Here is a 20,629-nt window from a genome sequence, read left to right on the forward strand (position 1 = left end):
AGAAGAATATTTAATTATTTAACATCCGCTGGTATCATAGGGATCAACATGTCCCTTCTCTGTGGAATATAAGCCATGAAGCAGCATTGAGAAGAGATCATGCAGGTCAGACAGAGCTTCAATAAGTACTGTATAAAAGAACAGAGAGCCAAACAAACTGATGCCTCCCTGGATGCTTTTCAAGGGCGTATGGATCCTAGGTATAAAGGTCTCTATGGCCAATGAGTTGTGGGGGATAAAGGCTTTGGATGCCATCCTGAAAATCTTATCCCTGCTGAACCATGGGACCTCAGTGTTGCCAGATGGGATGGCTTCTCTGTGGCAGGTCGGAAATGCATTTGAGGGTATGGGGTGGGAGTGTGCTGCTGAGTTGGGCTCTTAATGGACAGATGAACATCTCACCGAAATTTCCCGGTATTTGGAAGTAATTGGTGACTTGTTTCCATCCTAATTGACAGCCTCAAAACCAAGATCATGTGCATATAGTGATTGAATTAGCCCTTCCTCCCCCAGCCCTACCCCTGCCCCACCCCCAGCATCCCAGATGTTTACTGTAGCTCAGGCGGACTCCAGGGCACTAATTGATGTAAGAGGATAGAAACTCTTGTGTGCCTGATAGGCCGTGAACATCTATGCTTTGTAATATATATGACTATAACCTTCTTAAAGGATTTATGTTCCTTATACAAGAACAAGAGGAAAAAGAAAGCCACTCCCTGATCCCTACTCCTAACTATCAGAATAGTGAATTGGAAAAGGATCTGAGACAGCCCTCGATCTGAACCTCAGTTTTGGGAAGCAGTGACATACCTCTGGGACTCAAAGCAAGTCACTTGGCCCTGCTAGACTTTGGGATGGCCCCGGCACTGTGCCAACTCTTTCAAAAACATTACCTCATTTAGTGCTGAAGCCACCCATGTCTTGCTTTCTTTTGCATAAAACTTGTTGGATGAAAAAGGACCTGGTTAAGGTTTAAAATACGATTTGTAATAATAATAGAATAATAGGCTCTGTGTTTTGAGCACATTCCACATGCCAGGCATGTGATACTTACAATGTATGTTTCCAAACACCGTCTCATTTAATCTTTAGAGTAACCCTATGAGGCAGGTACTGATTGAGGTTGGTAAATCTCAGGTCGTAAAGATAGTATGCCATGTTGTGAAGATAGGAGTAGAAATCTAAATCCCGAATTATTGTATTTAAAATCCAGAGCATCTTTTGGCAAATCTGTATTTTAGCTTCCTAGAACTATACTGAAATTTTTTCTGGAGTAATGAAGTAGTAATGAGTAATGAAAACATTAGCAATTCTAGTCATTCTTCACCACCATAACAAAGAATTCAAGATTTCTTTTTATGTGGATCTCAGAAATCTGATGACATACCTGGAGTGTTCTTCTGGAGGGAATATTTACACTTTACCTTTAGGATATCACACAACTCTCTTGTCCATTTCTAGCCAAGTCCCACAGAAGCCCTGCGGGTCACTGAGCATTGACCCCAGAAGTTAGCATTTTCTTTGTTCTCGTCTTGAAAGCTACAAGCAGATGAAAAATCTTAGATCCACGCATATGTGTGCTGTAGGGCTATGGCTTTCTTTACTAAATGAAGGCATCTTCAAACTTTGAGAAAACACTTTGCTTATGTAGCTGAAATCACATCAAATGTTTGCTTTCCTTTTCTTGTTGTTGCTGCTGATGCTATTTTTCAGGCAAACACTGAGCTTGAGACAGAGAAATCTTCAAGAGTATGTTTCATAGAGGTGTTTCAGCTTCTCTGGCAGAAAAGAACCCACAAGTTCAAAAATGAACATGGACCTCTTGAAACAGACTGTATTCTAGCCCCGATCTCAGGCAGGCTCCTGACCCACAGAAAGAACATGTTCTCCAGTATATCTGTTATCACAGAAGGAGAAAAAAGATGGAATCTGACATGGCTACAGCTTTAGGCAGACAATATTATGTATAAGCATTTTTTTTTTATAATTGACAAAGGTAGTAAAACTAAGAAAGTGATACGCTTCATTCTTTTAGTCATAAAAATGGACTTTTCTTTGGTTACTTTCACTGACTGCTTAAGTAGCTTTCCAAACTCCAAATCCTATTGAGACCTGACACAGAATTGTCTTAAGTTCTTTCTTCTCCTCTCCCTCTGGCATATCAAGGGTCAGCCTAGATGTTCCATCTCAGCGTTCTCCACATCCCTTTGCAGATGGCGGAGGAATGGGGAGGCAGGATCTTCAGTGGTAAAAGGATGTGTTAGTAGAGGAGAGCCAAGGAGAGCACACCCTTATCTGTGCTTGAAGGTGAGAGGGAAGGGGTGGTCAGTGGGTCAGCTCTGGTCCTGCTGAGGATGGCCCCGGTCTCCAGGCAGTGAGGGCTGAAGGGAGGACAGTCAAAGAGAATGGACTCAAGGCCGTCAGAGCAGGGCTGGAACCCATGACTCGCCATGAGTTTACCCGGGCATGTAGGTCCCATTTGGGACAAGGGACAGAACCTTTGAAACCAGCAGATGTCACCAGTGCATACCCAGTGAGCCATGCAAGGTCAGAGGGTCCCCCTTCCCAATGGGAGGATATGTGGGTTGTCTTCTACCCTTTACACCTGGATGCCGTCTTAGGGAGCTGAGTAGGAGAGACCCACTGGTAGAGACAAGGCGTTTCTATCTGGGAGAGACTGAAGACTGCATAAAAGAGAAGGTTCCAATGATCTGATGGAAAGGCCAGGCTGCTAACAATGCATATCACTTTTCAGCACATTTGAATTAAATGCTTTAAGTGGGCAAATGTTGCAGCTTCATCGTAGCTGCTAAACCCAAACAGTGAATCTCCAGCTGATGGATCCGCAGAGAGGAGACAATCTGAGTCCGTTTTTGATCTGTCTAAATTACACAGCAGGACCTGCTTCTTTGCCCACTGTACTCATGTAACCTGTGACCCTGTGACCTGTTTAATCTTTGATTGACCTTAAAGCATCATATGCTAAATGAATCAGTATCTCTAGTATATATTGGATAAACCAGAGGTCTAACTTGGAGACCTTTCTGAGTAAACAGTAAATACCTTTTGGTACACTAAATGTTTTTCTGCAAATCTTCCAGTCCTTTGCCACGGCCATATTTAGCTCCTTCCTTTGTTTCGCTCTCACTTGGTCCCCACTAGTAATCATCTCAGACTTTATATGGAATGCCCCTGCTTTTCCAGTGTGAAATTCTTTTTGGAGGATCTGAAACAAGGAGAATGAGTCACTGACACGAACACATCTCAAACGCTAGTATTATGGCTTTAACCACCTTCCTACAAGCTGCCAGCCCTATGCCTCCAGAAAGCTGTGCGGCTGTTCCCCTGACCTCACACACAGGTCAGCTGCTTGGAGGTCGAGGTCAGGCCAGGATGCGCAAATGAAATTGTGAGGTTCATCTTGCCCTCACGTAGCCCAGAGTAGTTGAGGGAAGAGCTGCAGGTTTGGCCTTGAACTTGGGAAGCTCTGAGTGATCAGCTGGGAAACATGGCCTGGGCACAGCCCTCTGCCTAGCTGTATTACTTAAGGTCCCCTGTGAGCTCCCGGCATCACAAAGTGTAGCAATAAACCATCACCATATGTGCCATGGTACCTCTTAATGCACATTCTGGGAAATGTCTTTCAAGGAACGCTGTTGTACAATGGAATTAATTTTCACAGGTAACTTGTAGGACCAAAAGTTTTATTTTTAAAAAAATGCTCTAAAATTTCCATGACTTCAGCACCTGGAAAAGCTGTAGAGCCTAACGGGGCATCCCATTAGACAGGCCTGAAAAAGAGCAGATGGAAATTCTGAGGGTGAAGTGAAAACAGATGGGAGCTCTGCAGGTGAAACATGAACTTGAGTATTTCAAAGTTCATATTGCTGAACGTAAAATCCCATTAAGTGCGTTCCGATAAAGAGTTAAACTGACAAGCTGCCTGGTGATCTCCCTCCTTGTGAGTTTCCAACGCATTTTGCCACGGACAGTTTCTGTGGCTGGGGTTAAAAAGTACTTCCTCCAAGGCTGCCCGCTCATTTGCAAATGGCAGGTCTTCAAGCTGCACTTTCTCCTGCCTGGGACTCCAAGGTGGCGGCCTTGTAAACAGGGAGACATGGTTCAGCCTCTTTCTTTTTCTTTTTTAGCTGGTTGCTTGTCTGTCCCCTGTAATTTCCCCATCTCCATTTAGACAGCTGTGCACCCACGGAAAGCTGTGCTGGCCAGGCAGGCCGGCTGGTGCTCTGGCCAGTCTGAAGCCTTCTGGTGTTTTGAAAAGATGTCACTTCATCCCACAAATGTCCCCTTCTGTGAAAGAGGCCAAACTGTGTGACACAGCTATCCTCCGCGCAAGAAGGGCCTGGCACTCAGCGTGGTGTTTACTAGCAGTGGGTAGTCCACCACCTGCTATTTCTTAAATGGCATAGAACTCTGCAAGTTGCAGGAGATAAATAGGTTCTAAATTTACTTGAGTCTGTGTAAGTGACCTGAACAGCCCAAAGGGAAGATTCTCTCTGATGAAGGGGCTGGCTCTTCACTTTGGTGCTTGCTTTGTGTGCGCGCGCGCGCGTGTGTGTGTGTGTGTGTGTGTGTGTGTGTGTGTGTTTTAAGAGACAGGGTCTTATGCTGTTACCCAGGCCAAGTGCAGTGGTACCATCATAGAGCTCACTGCAGCCTCAACCTCCTGTGCTCAAGCAATCCTCCTGCCTTGCCCTCCCAAGTAGCTGGGACTACAGGTGAGCACTACCACACCTGGCTAATGTTTATTTATTTTTTATAGAGACAGAGTCTCACTATGTTGCCCAGGCTGGTCTCAAACTCCTGGCCACAAGTGATCTTCCTATCTTGACCTCCTGAGTAGCTAGGAGTACAGGAGCCACTGTGTCTGGCTTGGTGCTTGCTTTATGATGTCAGACTGCAAGGGAGAACTGGAAGGGGAGTTGGGGGTTGTGTCGATCTTTTCTGTCCATTGTCCCAGCTGCTAGCTGCATAGAATCCAACACCAGACTTTCCCAGGAGGAGGAGGATGATATGCATTTATCTAACATCATCTCTCTGGGTTGACTTTCCTGTATTCATAGAGGAAAAGTTTATAGGATAGGGAGTTCTTAGTCAAGTGGTCAGGGGTGGGGAGGTTTGGAGGTGCAACCTTTCTGGTATTTTTCCCAAGAGTCCGAATTACCCTTCTTAAATCAAAAAGCACATGTGAATCCCAAAGGAGCTCAAATTGTAGATGTGGGTGTAGTTTGCTTAATTCACAGGGGCTGAAATGTAGGAGCTCTGAAAGAGTCCCATAAAGGAGTAAAACTCGTGCATTTTTCTGAGATTTTAAATATGTGAGATGTTACACATCTAGATGCTTCCAGAAGCTATGACAATAAACGTATTTAACAATCATGCCAGCAAACAAATGATGCTGGTTTTGCACAACTGGTCCAATGACACCAGGGACACCTGTGGGAGTATCAGCCTTGCTTCAATGTGCCCACAAGGCTGCAGACTGCCTAAGTACTGTATCTGAAGCTCAGTGGTTTCGATGGTATCTTTAGAGCCCAAATTGATTGAATACTCACTCTCAATAAAATAGGAATAAAAATTTGCCTTGTAAATTTGTTGTAAAAATAATGCCTGATGCGAAGTGCTTATTAAGTAGCACTTGCTATTATTATTCAGCATTCTTCAGACTAGAACATAGTAAAAAATTTTTTTTATTATACTTTAAGTTCCAGGGTACATGTTCACAATGTGCAGGTTTGTTACATATGTATACATGTGCTGCACCAGTTAACTCATCACTTGTTGGTGTGCTGCATCCATTAACTCGTCATTTACATTAGGTATTTCTCCTAATGCTTTCCCTTCCCCCGCCACCAACCCCACGACAGGCCCCAGTATATGACATTCCCCACCCTGTGTCCAAGTGTTCTCATTGTTCAATTCCCTCCTATGAGTGAGAACACGCGGTATTTGGTTTTCTGTCCTTGCGATAGTTTGCTCAGAATGATGGTTTCCAGCTTCATCCATGTCCCTACAAAGGACATGAACTCATCCTTTTTTATGGCTGCATAGTATTCCATGGTGTATATGTGCCACGTTTTCTTAATCCAGTCTATCATTGATGGACATTTGGGTTGGTTCCAAGTCTTTGCTATTGTGAATGGTGCCTCAATGAACGTACGTGTGCATGTGTCTTTATAGTAGCATGATTTATAATCCTTTGGGTATATGCCCAGTAATGGGATCACTGGAAATTTTTATTTTTTATTAGTTTTTATATGTTGATGCTGACAAGGTCTCTGTTTGAGATGCACCTAGCTTTGTTTGTTTTAAACCACTTTATTGAAGTATGATTAATGTACTAAAAGCTGTACATATTAAATGTGTACAACTCGATGAGTTCAGGGATAAGTGTGCACCTGTGGAACTGTCATGGCCATCAAGGCCATAAACGTATTCATCACCTCCATCACTGAAACTTTGTACCCTCTAACCAACACCCTGTCCTCACACCAAGCTTGTTTTGAGTATTGAATGTATCATAAACAATCTAACATGTCGAATCATTTGATGGCATTTTCATTTGTTAAGCCTGGCAACCCTAGCCAGATTAGAAGAAGCAATGGCTAGTTGTGGAGTGGCCATCATGTATCTTAGGAAGGCACGTCCCTCAATATGTAGAAGATTTGGCACCCAAAGCCTGGGTAAACCAGTGAAGGGGGCATGCGTGACTATTGGCCTGCAAGCTGAATCCCAGCAGTTTACAATTCTCTGTGCTCTGGAGACTCTCTGTGCTGTTTTGCTTCAAGCAATCTTGTTTAATTTGTACCTTAACAATCTAGAACCTTGCAGGAGGCCATAAATGTCTGGCCTCTGTGAAGTCGAGATGAAACAAACAGCCTCTTTAATGAAACTAGGGCAAGTGACAGAGTTAGAGTTAAAATTCGGCCATTTTTATTCCGGAATTCTTGCTTAAAATATCCAGGGGTAGACATCTCCGAAACCTAAAATTCAGCAGCCACATGAGATGTGGAACATGAGGCCAGTTCATGAGATGCTACTTGGTAAATGGAGAACTTACAAGTCTAGTGATGTATCTGATTATGTGGCTGTGTAAAAATTGCTTGTGACTTTAAAAAAACCTTCTAGGTTTTTTCCTACTTCTAGGTAACAATGGGAAGCCAGGGAGACATTGTTGTAATACCAAAAATGTGCAAGAAATGTTTACTAAAAGTTTTTGTTGAAAGACATTTGTAACAATGAGATTTTCCCCAAGGAGCTGATGATTCAAGTAGTGGTTGTTGTTTATGTGTGGGTACAAAAATCACTGTCACTTAGCTAAAGTTTAACACATTAGTTCAAATAACAAATAGGTCTCTGAAAAAAAAAAAAATAGCCTGGTTTCTTAAATGGGCTTATTTGGGTAGCTGCTGTAGTCTGGTAAGACAATCATAGTGACTTTAGTCACCTGGGTTGTTGCAACAAATTACCGTAGGCTGGGTGGCTTGAACAACACACTTGTTTGTCACAGTTCTGGGGGTTGAGTGGTCCAAGATCAACTTGCCAGCAGATCCGTTGTTTGCTGAGAGCCTGCACGCAGGGCTGCTTCCTGGTGGTCATCTTCTCACTGTGTCCTCATGTGGCAGAGAGCAGTCATGTCTCTTCTTTTTTTTACCTTTTATTTTTTGAGACAGGGTCTCACTCTGTTGCCCAGGCTGGCATGCAGTGGCATGATCATAGCTCACTGCAGTCTCAAACTCCTGGGCTCAAGCAGTCCTTCCACTTCAGCCTCCCAAGGTTCTGGGATTACAGGGGTGTGAGCCACCACCCTCAGCCATGTGTCTTATAAGGCCACTAATCCCATTCATGAGGGTTCTATCCTCATGAGCTAATTTCCTCCCAAAAGCTCCATCTCCGAATACCATCACATTGGGATTTAGACTTCAGCATATGAACTTTGGGAGGATAAAAACATTCAGTCCATTGCTGTGGTTAAAAACTTTTATGTGGCCAGAGGACAGTAGGGTATCCAAACATAGGAGGCAAAGGCATGGAAAAACAGAAGAAAACAGGACCTACTCAAATGGGATCTGGAACACCATCATTTGGGTCTTACAAATGGCCTCATAGGCAGGTGAAAGGAAAAACCTAGAATAAAAAATCTTTTACCAAAATTGAGGGAAGAAGGCTGACTTAAAACAAATAGTGATTTTATCTCCATGTTTTAAATATTCCATATGACAGCGCTAATATAATTGGCATTTTCACTTTATAGTTGCTGGTAAAAGGAACATACTTTCCTCGATACGTCTAGAAATCCTTGGCATAATGGGCCAGATGCTCTGTTTTTGAGGCAGAAGATGTCACATCTCCTGCAGGTCCCTTTGCTGCTCTTCACTGTGGGGTGGATTCTCATCAGCCATGCCTGGAAAAATGCAAGGGGGCTGAGACTTCTGTCCCATTCCCTGAAGCCAACCTGGCTCTGATAACTGCCCAGGCCGGAGTGGCTCTTCAAGGTGTGACAAAGAATGAGACCCTTCAATTCTTCCCTGGACACCAGTGATCAAACTCACCATTCAAACACAACTAATATATCCCACAGATAGTACCTACTGTGTAGTATGCCCAGTGAAACAAAGCGGGCATATAACCTGCCTCCATGGAGTTTAATGTTTAGAGCGGGAGACAGAGAATTAGCGGGATACAGGGAATTATTGGTAAATAACAAAGAGTAAAACACTGAAGTCTGAGGTATTGCAGATACACAGCAATGAAGGAAAACAGTAGGGCATACCTTTGAGGATGAGGAAAGGGGAATATAAGGTGGTCGGGGAAGAAGATTTTTGATAAACTCAAATGATTTAAGATATTTCTGGACTGCCTTGTTAACACTTCAACATTATATATGCTCCTGGAATTTTTTGCCTTTTTAGTCAGATCTCACACTTTAACTCATAATGAAAAGCAGGTAAAATGTGGGTATCTGATGAGGTTGAAAGTTCACACAAATGGAAACTGTCAATTTGAAGCATATAGCTTACCATACCTTCATTTATATATAGTGAAATTGATTGTGGTGATCAGTATTAAAATCTCACAAAGTAGTTTTCATCTTCAATGCAGTTTCAGCATTCCAACGAGGTATGTAATATTGTCTGTAATTTCTAGGAAGGAGAGGAGTAATTTCAAGTCAGAGACAGATTCTAAGTTAACACCCACTTCTGTGGTATGGCTAGCCTGATAGACCACATTTTCTCTCTCTGTCTCTCTCTCAACTTCCCCTTATTACTCTAATTCTGGTAAGCACTCCCCCAACTTCACCATCTTCCTTCCTCTGAATAATTTGTCAGTATTTTTAATGATCACAGCTGCTCCAGGTCCAGGACCCTAAAATTCTGGGAACCAGGATGGGCTCAATTGCAGGAAAACCGTGGGTCTTCCCAGATGGGAGAAATGGAGGCCCTCATTGCTCAAGTCAGTAACTCCTCAGGCAGGCAGCAGAATCTGGCTTTCAGAAAGGGCCAGCACATTTCTTTCTCCATCCCAGAAAGCCTTCGAGGAACCTGCTCGAAAGTGGCAGGTATCCAGGGGTCCCTTCAATCCCTGAGGATGTGTGATTCTTTTGAGTAATGGTTCCTACGGTGCCTGCAGCCACTTAAGATTTTATTCTGGAAGCCAAATCAAGAATGTTTCCCATTTCTTAGGTGTTTTTCTAATGAGAGGAGGTAATGAGAGCCTGAGAATTCTGGTGATGGTCCACATACCTAAACAATGTGGATAGTCTTCAGCTGCTGCTGCTTCTGCAAGCCAAGAAAATAAAAACCCTTACAAGCACCACACACATATACCATACACACACATGCACCACAGACCACACATACACTACACACCTATGCATGCACACACACACACACACACACAGAGCATACACATCCCATACACACCATACATGCCACACACATTACTCATACACACACCACACCCCTAACACCCCACACATGCCACACACAAATGCATATACAACACACGTGTGCACACAAACTACACATATACACCAAACACATACACATCATACCCACCACACACATACTGCACGTGGTACACATGCCACTCACACACACCACACTCCCCACATATGTCACACACACCACACACACTAAACATGCACATGCACCACACATCACACACATACACATGTGCACACACATGTACATGCACCACACACATAACCTGATATATCAAAAATCCCAGGGCTCACAAGCAAAGAGAGATTGCAGGTCATGGGCTTATTTTAAAACACAGATGACCACAATTCGTAGTTCTTTGCACACAGTGAACAAAAGTTTGTTTTCCTTTTTAATCTTAAAAATACCTGTCTTGCAACAAACTCTGAATGATTCATTTTTTTCTCATATCACTGTTAGGTCAGCAGAGCAAATGTTATTTTTGTTTCACAGTTGGGGAAACTTGCCAAGATAGGTGGTGGCTTCTCCTCATTTTGTGTCTGGCCACGAACTCAAGACGTGTATTTCTATTCTGGTGGAATAGAATCAATGAGCATCTGCTGCTCTCTTAGAGTTAACTTATACCCAGGATTTGGGGAGACTTTCAAGTGCCCAGTTCTACAAATTTTTTTAAATCTAGGCCAGAAACCTTACCAGGCAATTTGTTGTATAGAAAATTTATAAAATAATAATGACCTATATAAACCAAACAAACAAATGACCTATCCAGTTGTAAGCTTTTCTCATGAAATTTAACTGTTTCAAAGTGAGTACATGATCAATTTGAGGCTTGGGTGTAATTCCTTAGAGTCTCATCATTGAGATCTCCCAAAAATTGAGAAGAAATATTTGAAAGGGGAAGGAATTAAAGTGATTTGTGGATTTCTATATTGGAAGATTTTTATGCTTTTCCACCCTGCTAGGTTTTTGCCTCAGCATAAAATGGATTCAATGGAACGACTGTGTTTTGCCGATGAACAGCTGGTTTTCTCTTTTTTCCCCTCTGAATTAGTGATTCATGATTTATTTTGGTCTTGTGAAGACACATTCTCAGATTGTGATGACATACACAAACCATTTGACTGAATTCAGTAAAAATACAGTAAAGTAAACCCAAAAGGATAAACAGGACGGTTGCATTCCAGCAAACATTTGTTTTTACTGAGACGATCACAGATAACCAGTTTGATTGCGTCTCCCTCTTTTAGACGGTCATCCCAAGTCCTGAAGGACAATGATTAAACAATGGAAGTGGACCTCTCTGTGTTCCAGTCTCCTCTCCCGACAAAATGTGTTTGTCATGAAAGGGAGCTTAATTTTTAACATGGTTGAATTACTAAACACTTGAATTAAACATTCTCATGAGGGCTTATCTCCTAAAGAAGGCATTCTGTTTCCTTAACACTGGAATGGGCGTTTCATGAAGTATCATAAACAGTTTACGATTTAAGAAGAAAATGTAGTAACCTCCCCTGGATTAGGAAGGGTTCTGTGGCTGTAGCTTGTTACTGGCTGGAGACTGCTGAGATCGAAGGCCATCAACCTTGGAGATGCTGGCAGGGGAAGCTTTGCCTCTTTTCCTGGTCTATAGTGAGATGAGGTAGGACTGCAGGAAGGGCTGGAAGGTGGCCTGCAGTTAACAAGACGTCTCTCTGCCCACTGAGCTGTTTCCCTCACGTTTCACTGATGATTTCACAAGTGTGCATTTTATTTTAACGCGAGGATAATATTTACTCTTGGTGCGCATGAGGCAGGCATAGCTAGTGTGACAGACATTTGGAGAATGTTTAAAGGCTGTGAGTGCATTGAGTATCTGAAAATTAGGGAGAGAGGACCCATGAAGCCTGTTCCATTTATTACATCTGTATAAAAATTACTCCAAGATGAAGTGGCTTAAATCAATGGCAACATTTTATTTTGCTAATAGATTTATAATTTGGGCAGGGCTCAGGAGCAACAGCCTATTTCTGCCTTGCTTGGCCTCAGCTTGGGAGGTTCAAAGGCTGGAGCTAAAATCGTCTGAAGCCTCATTCACTCATGTGACTGTTGATGCTGACTGACTGATGTTGGCCAGAACACTTACACATGGCTCTTCATATACCTTGGGCTTCCTCACAACATGGCAGCTGGGTTGTGAGGGCAACAACCCTGCGAGAGAGAGAAAGACGACTAGGGGAAGCATATCACCTTTCTGACCCAAGCTTTGGAAGCCAGGAAGCATTACAGTGCTTCCTGTGGGTTCCGTTCTGAAGTGCTTGCAAAATCTGGCCTGGGTTTAAGGGGAGCAGAAATTGGTTTCACATCTTGATGGGGACTGGTAAGTTTCTGGAGGAGGAGATGGAACTAGAAATATTGCTGCACCCCAGTTTTGGGAAAATCCTCCAGAGGGTCCATGAAAGGAGCATCTAGTAGGTCTGTAGGAAGATGGAAACACACACAGCTCTTACTTTGCCCATACCCTGGTGCCCCTGGAGCAGAAGTCCTGATGTGGTGATATCATTTCTATGCCTTCGAATAGAAATGAAATTCAGAGACACATTTTGAATTACTGTGAATCTGATAATAAACTTTCATAGCATTGTCTAACTTAAGTGACTCAACAACTGCCTTGTGAAGTGGGAAAGGCAGGCATAAGCCTCTCCATTTTGAGGAGGAGGAAGCTGAGAACTGAAAAAGTTTAAATGACTTTTTGAATGCCATAGATTGCATAAATGTCAATATTGGGACTCAAATTCACATCTTCAGATTTCAAATCTGGTGTGTCTTTTGTTCTAACCACGTTGAACCTGAAGAAGAAAAGACCAAAGCAAATACATAATCAAATGGGTTATATTCTGAGATTACAGTAAGAAGGGGCAGGAGATTAAAGTGAGATTGACAAAATTAAAAATATTCAGAGGGTATTTTTTGCTGTCTAATGTGCTTTTTTTTTGCTGAGTAATGATACATTTAAAACCTTAATGCTCATTTATTAAAAAAAAAAACTTTATTAGGAGCCTACTGCATGCCCAAAATGATGGTGGTATAAGTATAAATGGCAAGATTACTGATTTCAAGGCTCTATTAAGCTCACTGGGAGAAACAGACATATAAAAGTCAATGGTATATGTCCTTTTTAAAATGATAACAATGAAATGGTATTGTATTATGCTCCCACTCCACATCAAAATTTCCATGAACACTAGAAAAAAACCTTTGAAATGATATAATTAGAGCACTGGAGAACTTAATAGGTGCCATGATTATGAGTAATCTAGAAATTTTGAGGAATTTCAGAAAGAAGGATAGCAGCTGGAAATGGATAGAAAAAGTAGAAACAGGGAAGATATACCCCCAAATGTAACCAGAAGCAATCTTTTTTTTTTTTAAGATCAGTTCCAGAGGTAATTTAAGCCCGTAGTGAGTAAATCATGAACTCTGAAGGATTTTTATGGGGCGATTGTCAGACAATGGATTAATTTTCTGTGTCTGTAGCAGATGTGCCAGACGAGCTCTACTTGGCTTTCCTTCCGGTGCTGAGCATCTGGCAGCAGCAGTGTTCACACCCAGGGTAAAACCTAAAAATTAAATAACCCCACAAATGGAAAAGAGAACGAGATCCCAGTTTGTGGGAACTTTGGGCTCACCAGTACCTACATGAAAAAATGCAAACAAGGAAGAAGAAAATGTAATCGCTGACTCAAATATTTGTCCACAGCTAAAATTGAGAATGTTCTCCAAAATGGAAATTGAGATATGAGAAGTTACTGCAGTGGACCAGGCCCAGAGAAGCAGATAAGATGCAGGAGGAACAGGTCAGCTGTTTAGGTCTGTTCTCTCCATCACCCAGGGCATCTGTCAATATGTGGATGGAGATTCTCATTTGGGCTAGAGTCAGCTGAAACCCTCAGCTACAAGTAAAAGCAGACACCCAAACCACCAGTATTTGATTGGTGGTAAAATAAAAAATAACAAAACACCGCCACACGTATACACATAAAAGAGAATCACCATGGGGACAGAATTGGTAGTGCCAGTAGACGAAAACTTGAAATATAACCTTAGGGAGATTTGAGGAGCTTTGATGAAAAGGCTGTATCAAAAATATGTCTCGGAAATTCAAAATATGTCCATCAAAATGAAAAAAATTAGATATGTTGAACGCAGAATAAATACAGCTAAAGATTGAATTATCCAACTGGGCAGTTGAGTCTGAGTTATGCAATACAAAAAGTAAGAAACAGGCCAAGTATGGGGGAAAAAAAGCTAACGGATATGGAAGATGGATCTAGAGATTAAATATCCAGCTGTGGATCCCAGAAGGAGAGAACAAACAGAATGAAGAGTCAGGAATTCCCAAAAGCTGAAGAAGCTCATGACTCCTGAGACTAAGGGAGACTTAGAACTGATAAGGTTTGCCAAGCAAGATACACGACTGCACATGGGCTAGCGAGGTTATAAGCACCAAACAAAAAAAGAATCATAAAACTTTACACAAAGAAAAATCAGTTAACTACAAATTAAAGAGGATCAGCTCAACATCAGACTTCTCATCATTGATAGAAAACAATGTAGATAACAATGGAGAGTGTCTTTAAAGTCATTTGATAAAAAACAACTTGGAATGTAGAATTGTTTCATACTGAGTTATTTTTTCATTCAAGTGTGAAGGTGAAATAAAAATGCTTGTAAGTAATGAAAGCCTTATAAAAATTACCCACAATAGGCATTTTATAAAATAATCACTCAAGGAGGTATCCAAACATGATTAAGGAAAAATATAAAAAAGATGATGGTATGAGCTATAAGAAAGGGTGGCACACAAGGAAATCAGTGTAGTGCCTAGCTGAATTTCCGTAATTGTTGATGTATGATTTGAAAGAACACAAGCCCCTCCTCCCTTGGTAAAAATTCAGAAATGTAAACTCCATATAATTTCAACATGGGAAACAGTGAAAAATAAGAAAAGAAAGCTTGTGAAACATTGCCAAGGTCCTTAGTCTGTTTGCGGCGAGGCGGTATATAGAGTAATTCTAGACAGCAACAAAAAAATCCACATATAAATACATGCTAACATTTTAATGACAACCCTTCCAAATATGATTAAAATGCATATCCTAACTGAATAAGAAAATTTGGGTGGGAAATTGATCAGTTTACAAAAAAGACTCTCAAAAATAATGATCAGAAACCGGATGATGGAAAACAGAAAAAATAGCCACCTCTTTCACTCCTCCTAAATATGGCAGGAAAATATGGATAGCCTGTTAGTAATTATCTAAATGTGAACATGTTTGTCAAAAAGAACAGGGTATCCTGTACCATGTATCCTTTTCAACTTGTTTCTTCCATTTAATATCATGTTTTTTGTGTATATCTTTGTTTTTTGATACAATACAATTTAGGTTAGTGCGCTCTCTCTCTCTCTCTCTCTATATATATATATTTTATTTTATTTTATTTTATTTTTTATTTTTTTTGAGATGGAGTCTCGCTCTGTTACCCAGGCTGGAGTGCAGTGGCGCGATCTCAGCTCACTGCAAGCTCTGCCTCCTAAGTTCATGCCATTATCCTGCCTCAGCCTCCAGAGTAGCTGGGACTACAGGCGCCCGCCACCACGCCCGGCTAATTTTTTGTATTTTTAGTGGAGATGGGGTTTCACGTGTTAGCCAGGATGGTTTTGATCTCCTGACCTCGTGATCCGCCTGCCTCAGCCTCCCAAAGTGCTGGGATTATGGGCATGAGCCACCGCGCCTGGCCAGGTTAGCAATATTAATTGCTCTAAGGTATACCTTGTATGAATAAATTGCGTTTCATTCACTTATTATCCTCATTCAAAGCCAGTTATGTTTTTTCTATTTTTTTCACTATTAGAATAATTCAGTATACACTTTGCGTATTTTCATATGCACAGGAGAGCTAATTCTGGGTGAGTGTTGGGTGATAGAATTGTAGGGTTTCAGGTGATCGGCATCTCCGATTTTAGGAGATATGGCCTAATTGCACTCCAAAGTGATAAATAATTGTTTAATTCATTTAAATGGGCTCATGCAAATGAAAAAGTACTGAGGATGCATGAAGTCAGGCTGACACACACTTCAGAACAGTTGTTATCTATGAGGAAGGCAGGAGGGAGAAGGTGGGAAACTTTGGACTGGATCCATAATATTTTATTTCTTTAAAGGGATTGAAAACTAAACTAACATGATAAGCTGTTCTCTGTTAAATCTGGATAGGGAATACAAGAGCATGTGTTATGCTATTTCCTCATCTTTATTTGAAACATTTCATAATGACATGTATTAGAGATGAAAATTCCATATGTATTGGTGTAAAGAAGGGAGGGTACAAAAGGAAACTTTCACAGTTTAACTGTTGGGGAACAAATAATTCATTATCTGGTGACAGATGATCAATAGCAAGGAGTTAGAAAAGAGCAGGACACTTTTGGTGGAAGGCTGCACTGGTGAGAGATGGACAGGAATTTAGACTCAAGGACCAGGATTGGGCCAGATTATTAGAGGTCCTGAGATTCTGGGCAGAGTTTCTGAATTTCCCAGAAGCCATCTGAAGGGTGAGTTGAGGTGGAGAAATATTCGAAGCAGGAAGGCACATTAGAACATGCAATACTGTGGTTATGAAGGATGAAGAAGTTAAATAAACCGTGGCAGGATGGACAGGCATGACAGCAAACTGAATATGAAGAATGATCACCACGGGAAAGTCGCAAAGCAATCCTCCTAAATTTGGGGATGGAGAATGGTGCCATTAAGACAATAAATACAGAAGATAGATGAAGCTGGGAAGAAAGATACTTAGTTGGATTTGGGACACTATGGATGTGAAATGCACATGCAATTTGCAGATGTTCAGTAAGTAATAGGAAAGACTTTTTGTTCTCAAATGCTCATGACGCATGCTTTATATGCATTATTTATTTATCCTTACAATAACCCACATCATGTCTGACGTAACTGACGCTGAGCTACACATGTTAGCTGAACTCAAAACCAGGATTGTCTCACTTCACAAGGAAAGAGAACACAGCTAGCAGTACTGAGTGCCTTCTAGGACATAACCATTCCCCAAATAACTTAGAGTCTGCTATCAACTCTATTTTACAGATGAAACAGTTCAGGCCTGGGATGCGTGAAGGCACCTACGTGCCTGAGGCTGCCTTCCTGGTTAGAGCCGGGCTCAGGTTGGCTGCAGACCTCATGGTGTGTGTGGCCTCACTTCACTCCTCTAGCCTCAGTTCATTACTGCACCCGCTGTCGCCATTCCGAGTAGTAATGGGGTAAGCTGCACACAGCATGCAGAAGAATGCCTAACATGCAGGACAGTGCTCAAGGCCAGCCAGTTATTTTTCATTATGGAACAAGGTTGTGCATCGGATATTACTTTTATTCTCTAAATAATGGCAATGATTCACCCACATCCACCCACCAGGGAGTGGTGGAGCATATGTGGAATCCAGGTTCCCCTTCCTTCAATCCTACAAGTTTCTCATGGTGCCTCCACCTTTCTTTTTTTAATACTCACTTCCAGGAAGCCTGAAATGCCTTCCCTCAAAAATACATTTACCTCAACATGCATGTAGTGAAAGCGTGTTGGTGTCTGAAAGAAGAGACCTCTTCATTTATCTGGAAAGTCTACCTGCAAGCTCTTTTCTCACTGACACTGTGTATAATTACTTTTTCCGGATGTACTTAAGCCCCATCACCGTGCTCTCTGCTACTCTGCGCAGGATCTGCGGTGCAGCTGCTGAGGGGTGCCTTTCGGGACTGGCCTCTGTGGAGGCTGCTCTGGGCACCCAATATTGAATCCACCTCTTGAAAGCCGTGAAGCTATGCAGTCCTAAGAGAACACTTTATTTTTACTGGCGAGAAGAAGATCACTTTCGACACATTGCTGTGCAATTCGTAAAAGAAAAATTATGAGAAAGGCTTATAATTTTTTCATGACATGGAATGACAGCAGGAAGTTACGCTGGAAAAGGAGTAATGCACGCTGACATAGCTTTGAGGACAATCTCCCCAAGACATACCGGGACCACACATGGGAGGTGATTACACTCCAGTTAAATTCCTTTCACTCACTTCTGTACAAAAGCTCTGCTGTTTCTCTTTGATCCTCCAGAGGATATCTTCTCTCTGTTGTGTGGACTGTGGCCACTGGCTACTCCTGTCTCTCATGATAACCTTGTCGATTTTGGACTGCGCCTTCTCTGCTGCTATTATGAGAGCTGGCTTTATTCTCAGTTCAGAGGCAGCAGTGCTCAGCTTTTGCTGAGAAAATGCTAAACGTTAAATGTTATCACACATTTTGCTTTTCAATGATAAAAGGACCAAGAGGAACCACCTCTTCCCGACTAAATAACTCTGGGATACTGCAAAGAAAGCATTTCTCTCTCTCTGGTGTTTACAACTCAAGGCTTAGATCAGTAGTAAAGATAAACTCAGGTGAAATTCCTTTGTCCTGGATTGAGTGGTGAAGAAATTACTTACCTAAAATCTAAACAAATATGACTGTTTAGTTTCAGAATGTTCTAAGGTGTGTTTTTGTTTTTTTAGTTCAGTTTCAAATTACACAAAGTATAATTCAGAGAACATAATTCAGTGCTCACACACCCTAGAAATGATTTAAGAATTAAATTCACTGCTTTTCTGAGCCCTGACATTACTCTGATTTTAGTTCTGGGCACCTCAGCTTCCTTCTCCTATCTCTGTCAACATTTCTACCTTCTTTTGACTTCCAGCTATTCTCATCCACTGTCCTCTGGTTTCCCTGGGGCCTCTCAAGCTGTCTTGTATGGCTGATTTGAATTGATGGCCACAATGATAATTCATAATGATTGGGCTTTACAGCACACATAAAAATCCAAGGATTCTGTGAGATCCATATTTGCAGCTAGCAATTTTCAAGGACTTGAATTTTAAGACCAATGGCAAATATGATAATAAATATCTTCAAAACAATGCAAATTGCCAGGGGCAACAATTTGGATATTTCCTGTTAGCCATGTCAGACAATTTTAGGTTCTGTATTCAACAAATTCTGCAACGATTGTTTCATTATGAACTTGGCCCCAGGAGTGTGCTGGGGGCACAGTGGACATTGTTATTTTTTCCTGCATGGAGCTTATAGTCTGAGGAGGAGGCAGATGACAACCAAATAGCTGCTCACACAGCAGTCACAGCAAGGTGCCCTTGGAGCATGTGGGCCCCTTTAGAGGCCTGGCAGAGTCTAAGTGGGCCTCCAGAGGGTTTCCCATGAAAAAGTGACCACGGAGCTGAGATCTGAAGGGCGTCTGAGATTCATAGATGAGGGGAGCATGTTTTAGCTCAGGGAAGAGTGGAGGCAAGGACTGGGGGCAGAAGGGAACATGGCCTATTCCAGGACCCGAAGGACGGGCTGTGTGGATTGAGCTTGCAGAGGGAAGGGAGAAGCTGGGAGGCTCAGAACCCTGGGGCCACAGTGAGGATTTTGAACCTCATCCTAAGAGTAAAAAGAGGTATGTCGCAGACTCTTCCTAGCCCTCAGCTTTGGGGCCTTGGCTTACTAGATAAAGGAATGCCTGGCTGTGTGTTATTTCTGGAAAACACCCTGCTGCTGGCAGAACCCTAATGAGGGAAGGGGGTACAGCACCCCTTTCAGGACCTTTCACAGACAGAGGAGGGGTGTGGGCCGGGAAGTTCATTGTCGTAAGGCCTTAAATCATACCACATATTCAGCACTCAAATCCCCTACCCACAAGTGCAGTTCTGGCTCCTGAAATTTGGGTGAATAAGTAAACAGCTGATGCTGCTGGGTCTTTCCTGGGTCCAAGACTCCCCTGCTCTGGGTCTTCCTCTTGGTGACAGCGGACTTGGGCTCCTGGGCTGGAAGATTCCCAAGATGTCAGTTTAGTTCTGGAGTGAGTTTTTTTTAAAAAAATAATTTATTTTGTATCTAGAGTGTGCAACATGATGTTTTAATACACATACTGAAATGGTTACTATAGTAAAGCAAATTAACATATCTATTAGATCACATGGTTACCCTTTTTTTGTGGTAAGAGCATCTAACATCTGCTCTCTTAGCACATTTCCCGTATACAATACAAGATTATCACTCTAGTCTTGAAAATAGCAAACATTTGTCTTATCCTCCCTCCTTAAGCTCCCCTAACTACTTCATTCTACCTTTCATTTCTCTTTATGTCCTGAACCCAAATAACCCTTATAAGCCTTTTAAATGAATACAGTTTTGTTGAATATTAAACATATGTTTAGCTTTGTAAAGATGTGGGGGTTCAATAAATATAATCGACCTAGATGTAGGAACTGAAACTATAAAATTTCTCAAAATACAGAAGAAAATGGTTGTGACTATCAGTGAGGCAGAGGTTCCTTGAACTGGGCAGCAACAGCACAAAATAAAACACCTATAAATGGCACTTCGTAAACAACAACAAAACTTTTGCTTTTCAAAGGCACTGTTAAGCAAATAAAAAGTCAAGCCAGACACTGGGAGAAAATATTACAAATCACATGTCTGACAAAGGGCTTGTTTTGAAACACGAAAGGAACTGTTACAAGTCAGTAAGAATGTGAACAACCTAGGAAAAATTGGGCAAGAGATGTGAACAAACACTTTACCAAGAAGTG

General features: G+C 41.8%; 1 long non-coding RNA gene across 1 annotated transcript in view, besides 1 other annotated feature; it reads left to right on the top strand.

The window, feature by feature from the left end:
• LOC105370108 (uncharacterized) overlaps nucleotides 1-20,629 on the top strand; it is a 114,586-nt gene that overhangs the window by 76,550 nt on the left and 17,407 nt on the right. The window lies entirely within an intron of this gene.
• Nucleotides 9,325-9,524: an enhancer, noted in NCBI's record as "active region_7446". NCBI's record gives its function as "activates an Ori minimal core promoter by ATAC-STARR-seq in GM12878 lymphoblastoid cells {active_cell/tissue: GM12878}" and the evidence as "EXISTENCE:reporter gene assay evidence [ECO:0000049][PMID:35858748]".

Source organism: Homo sapiens, chromosome 13, assembly GCF_000001405.40.
Source record: "Homo sapiens chromosome 13, GRCh38.p14 Primary Assembly".
Lineage (NCBI taxonomy): Eukaryota > Metazoa > Chordata > Mammalia > Primates > Hominidae > Homo > Homo sapiens.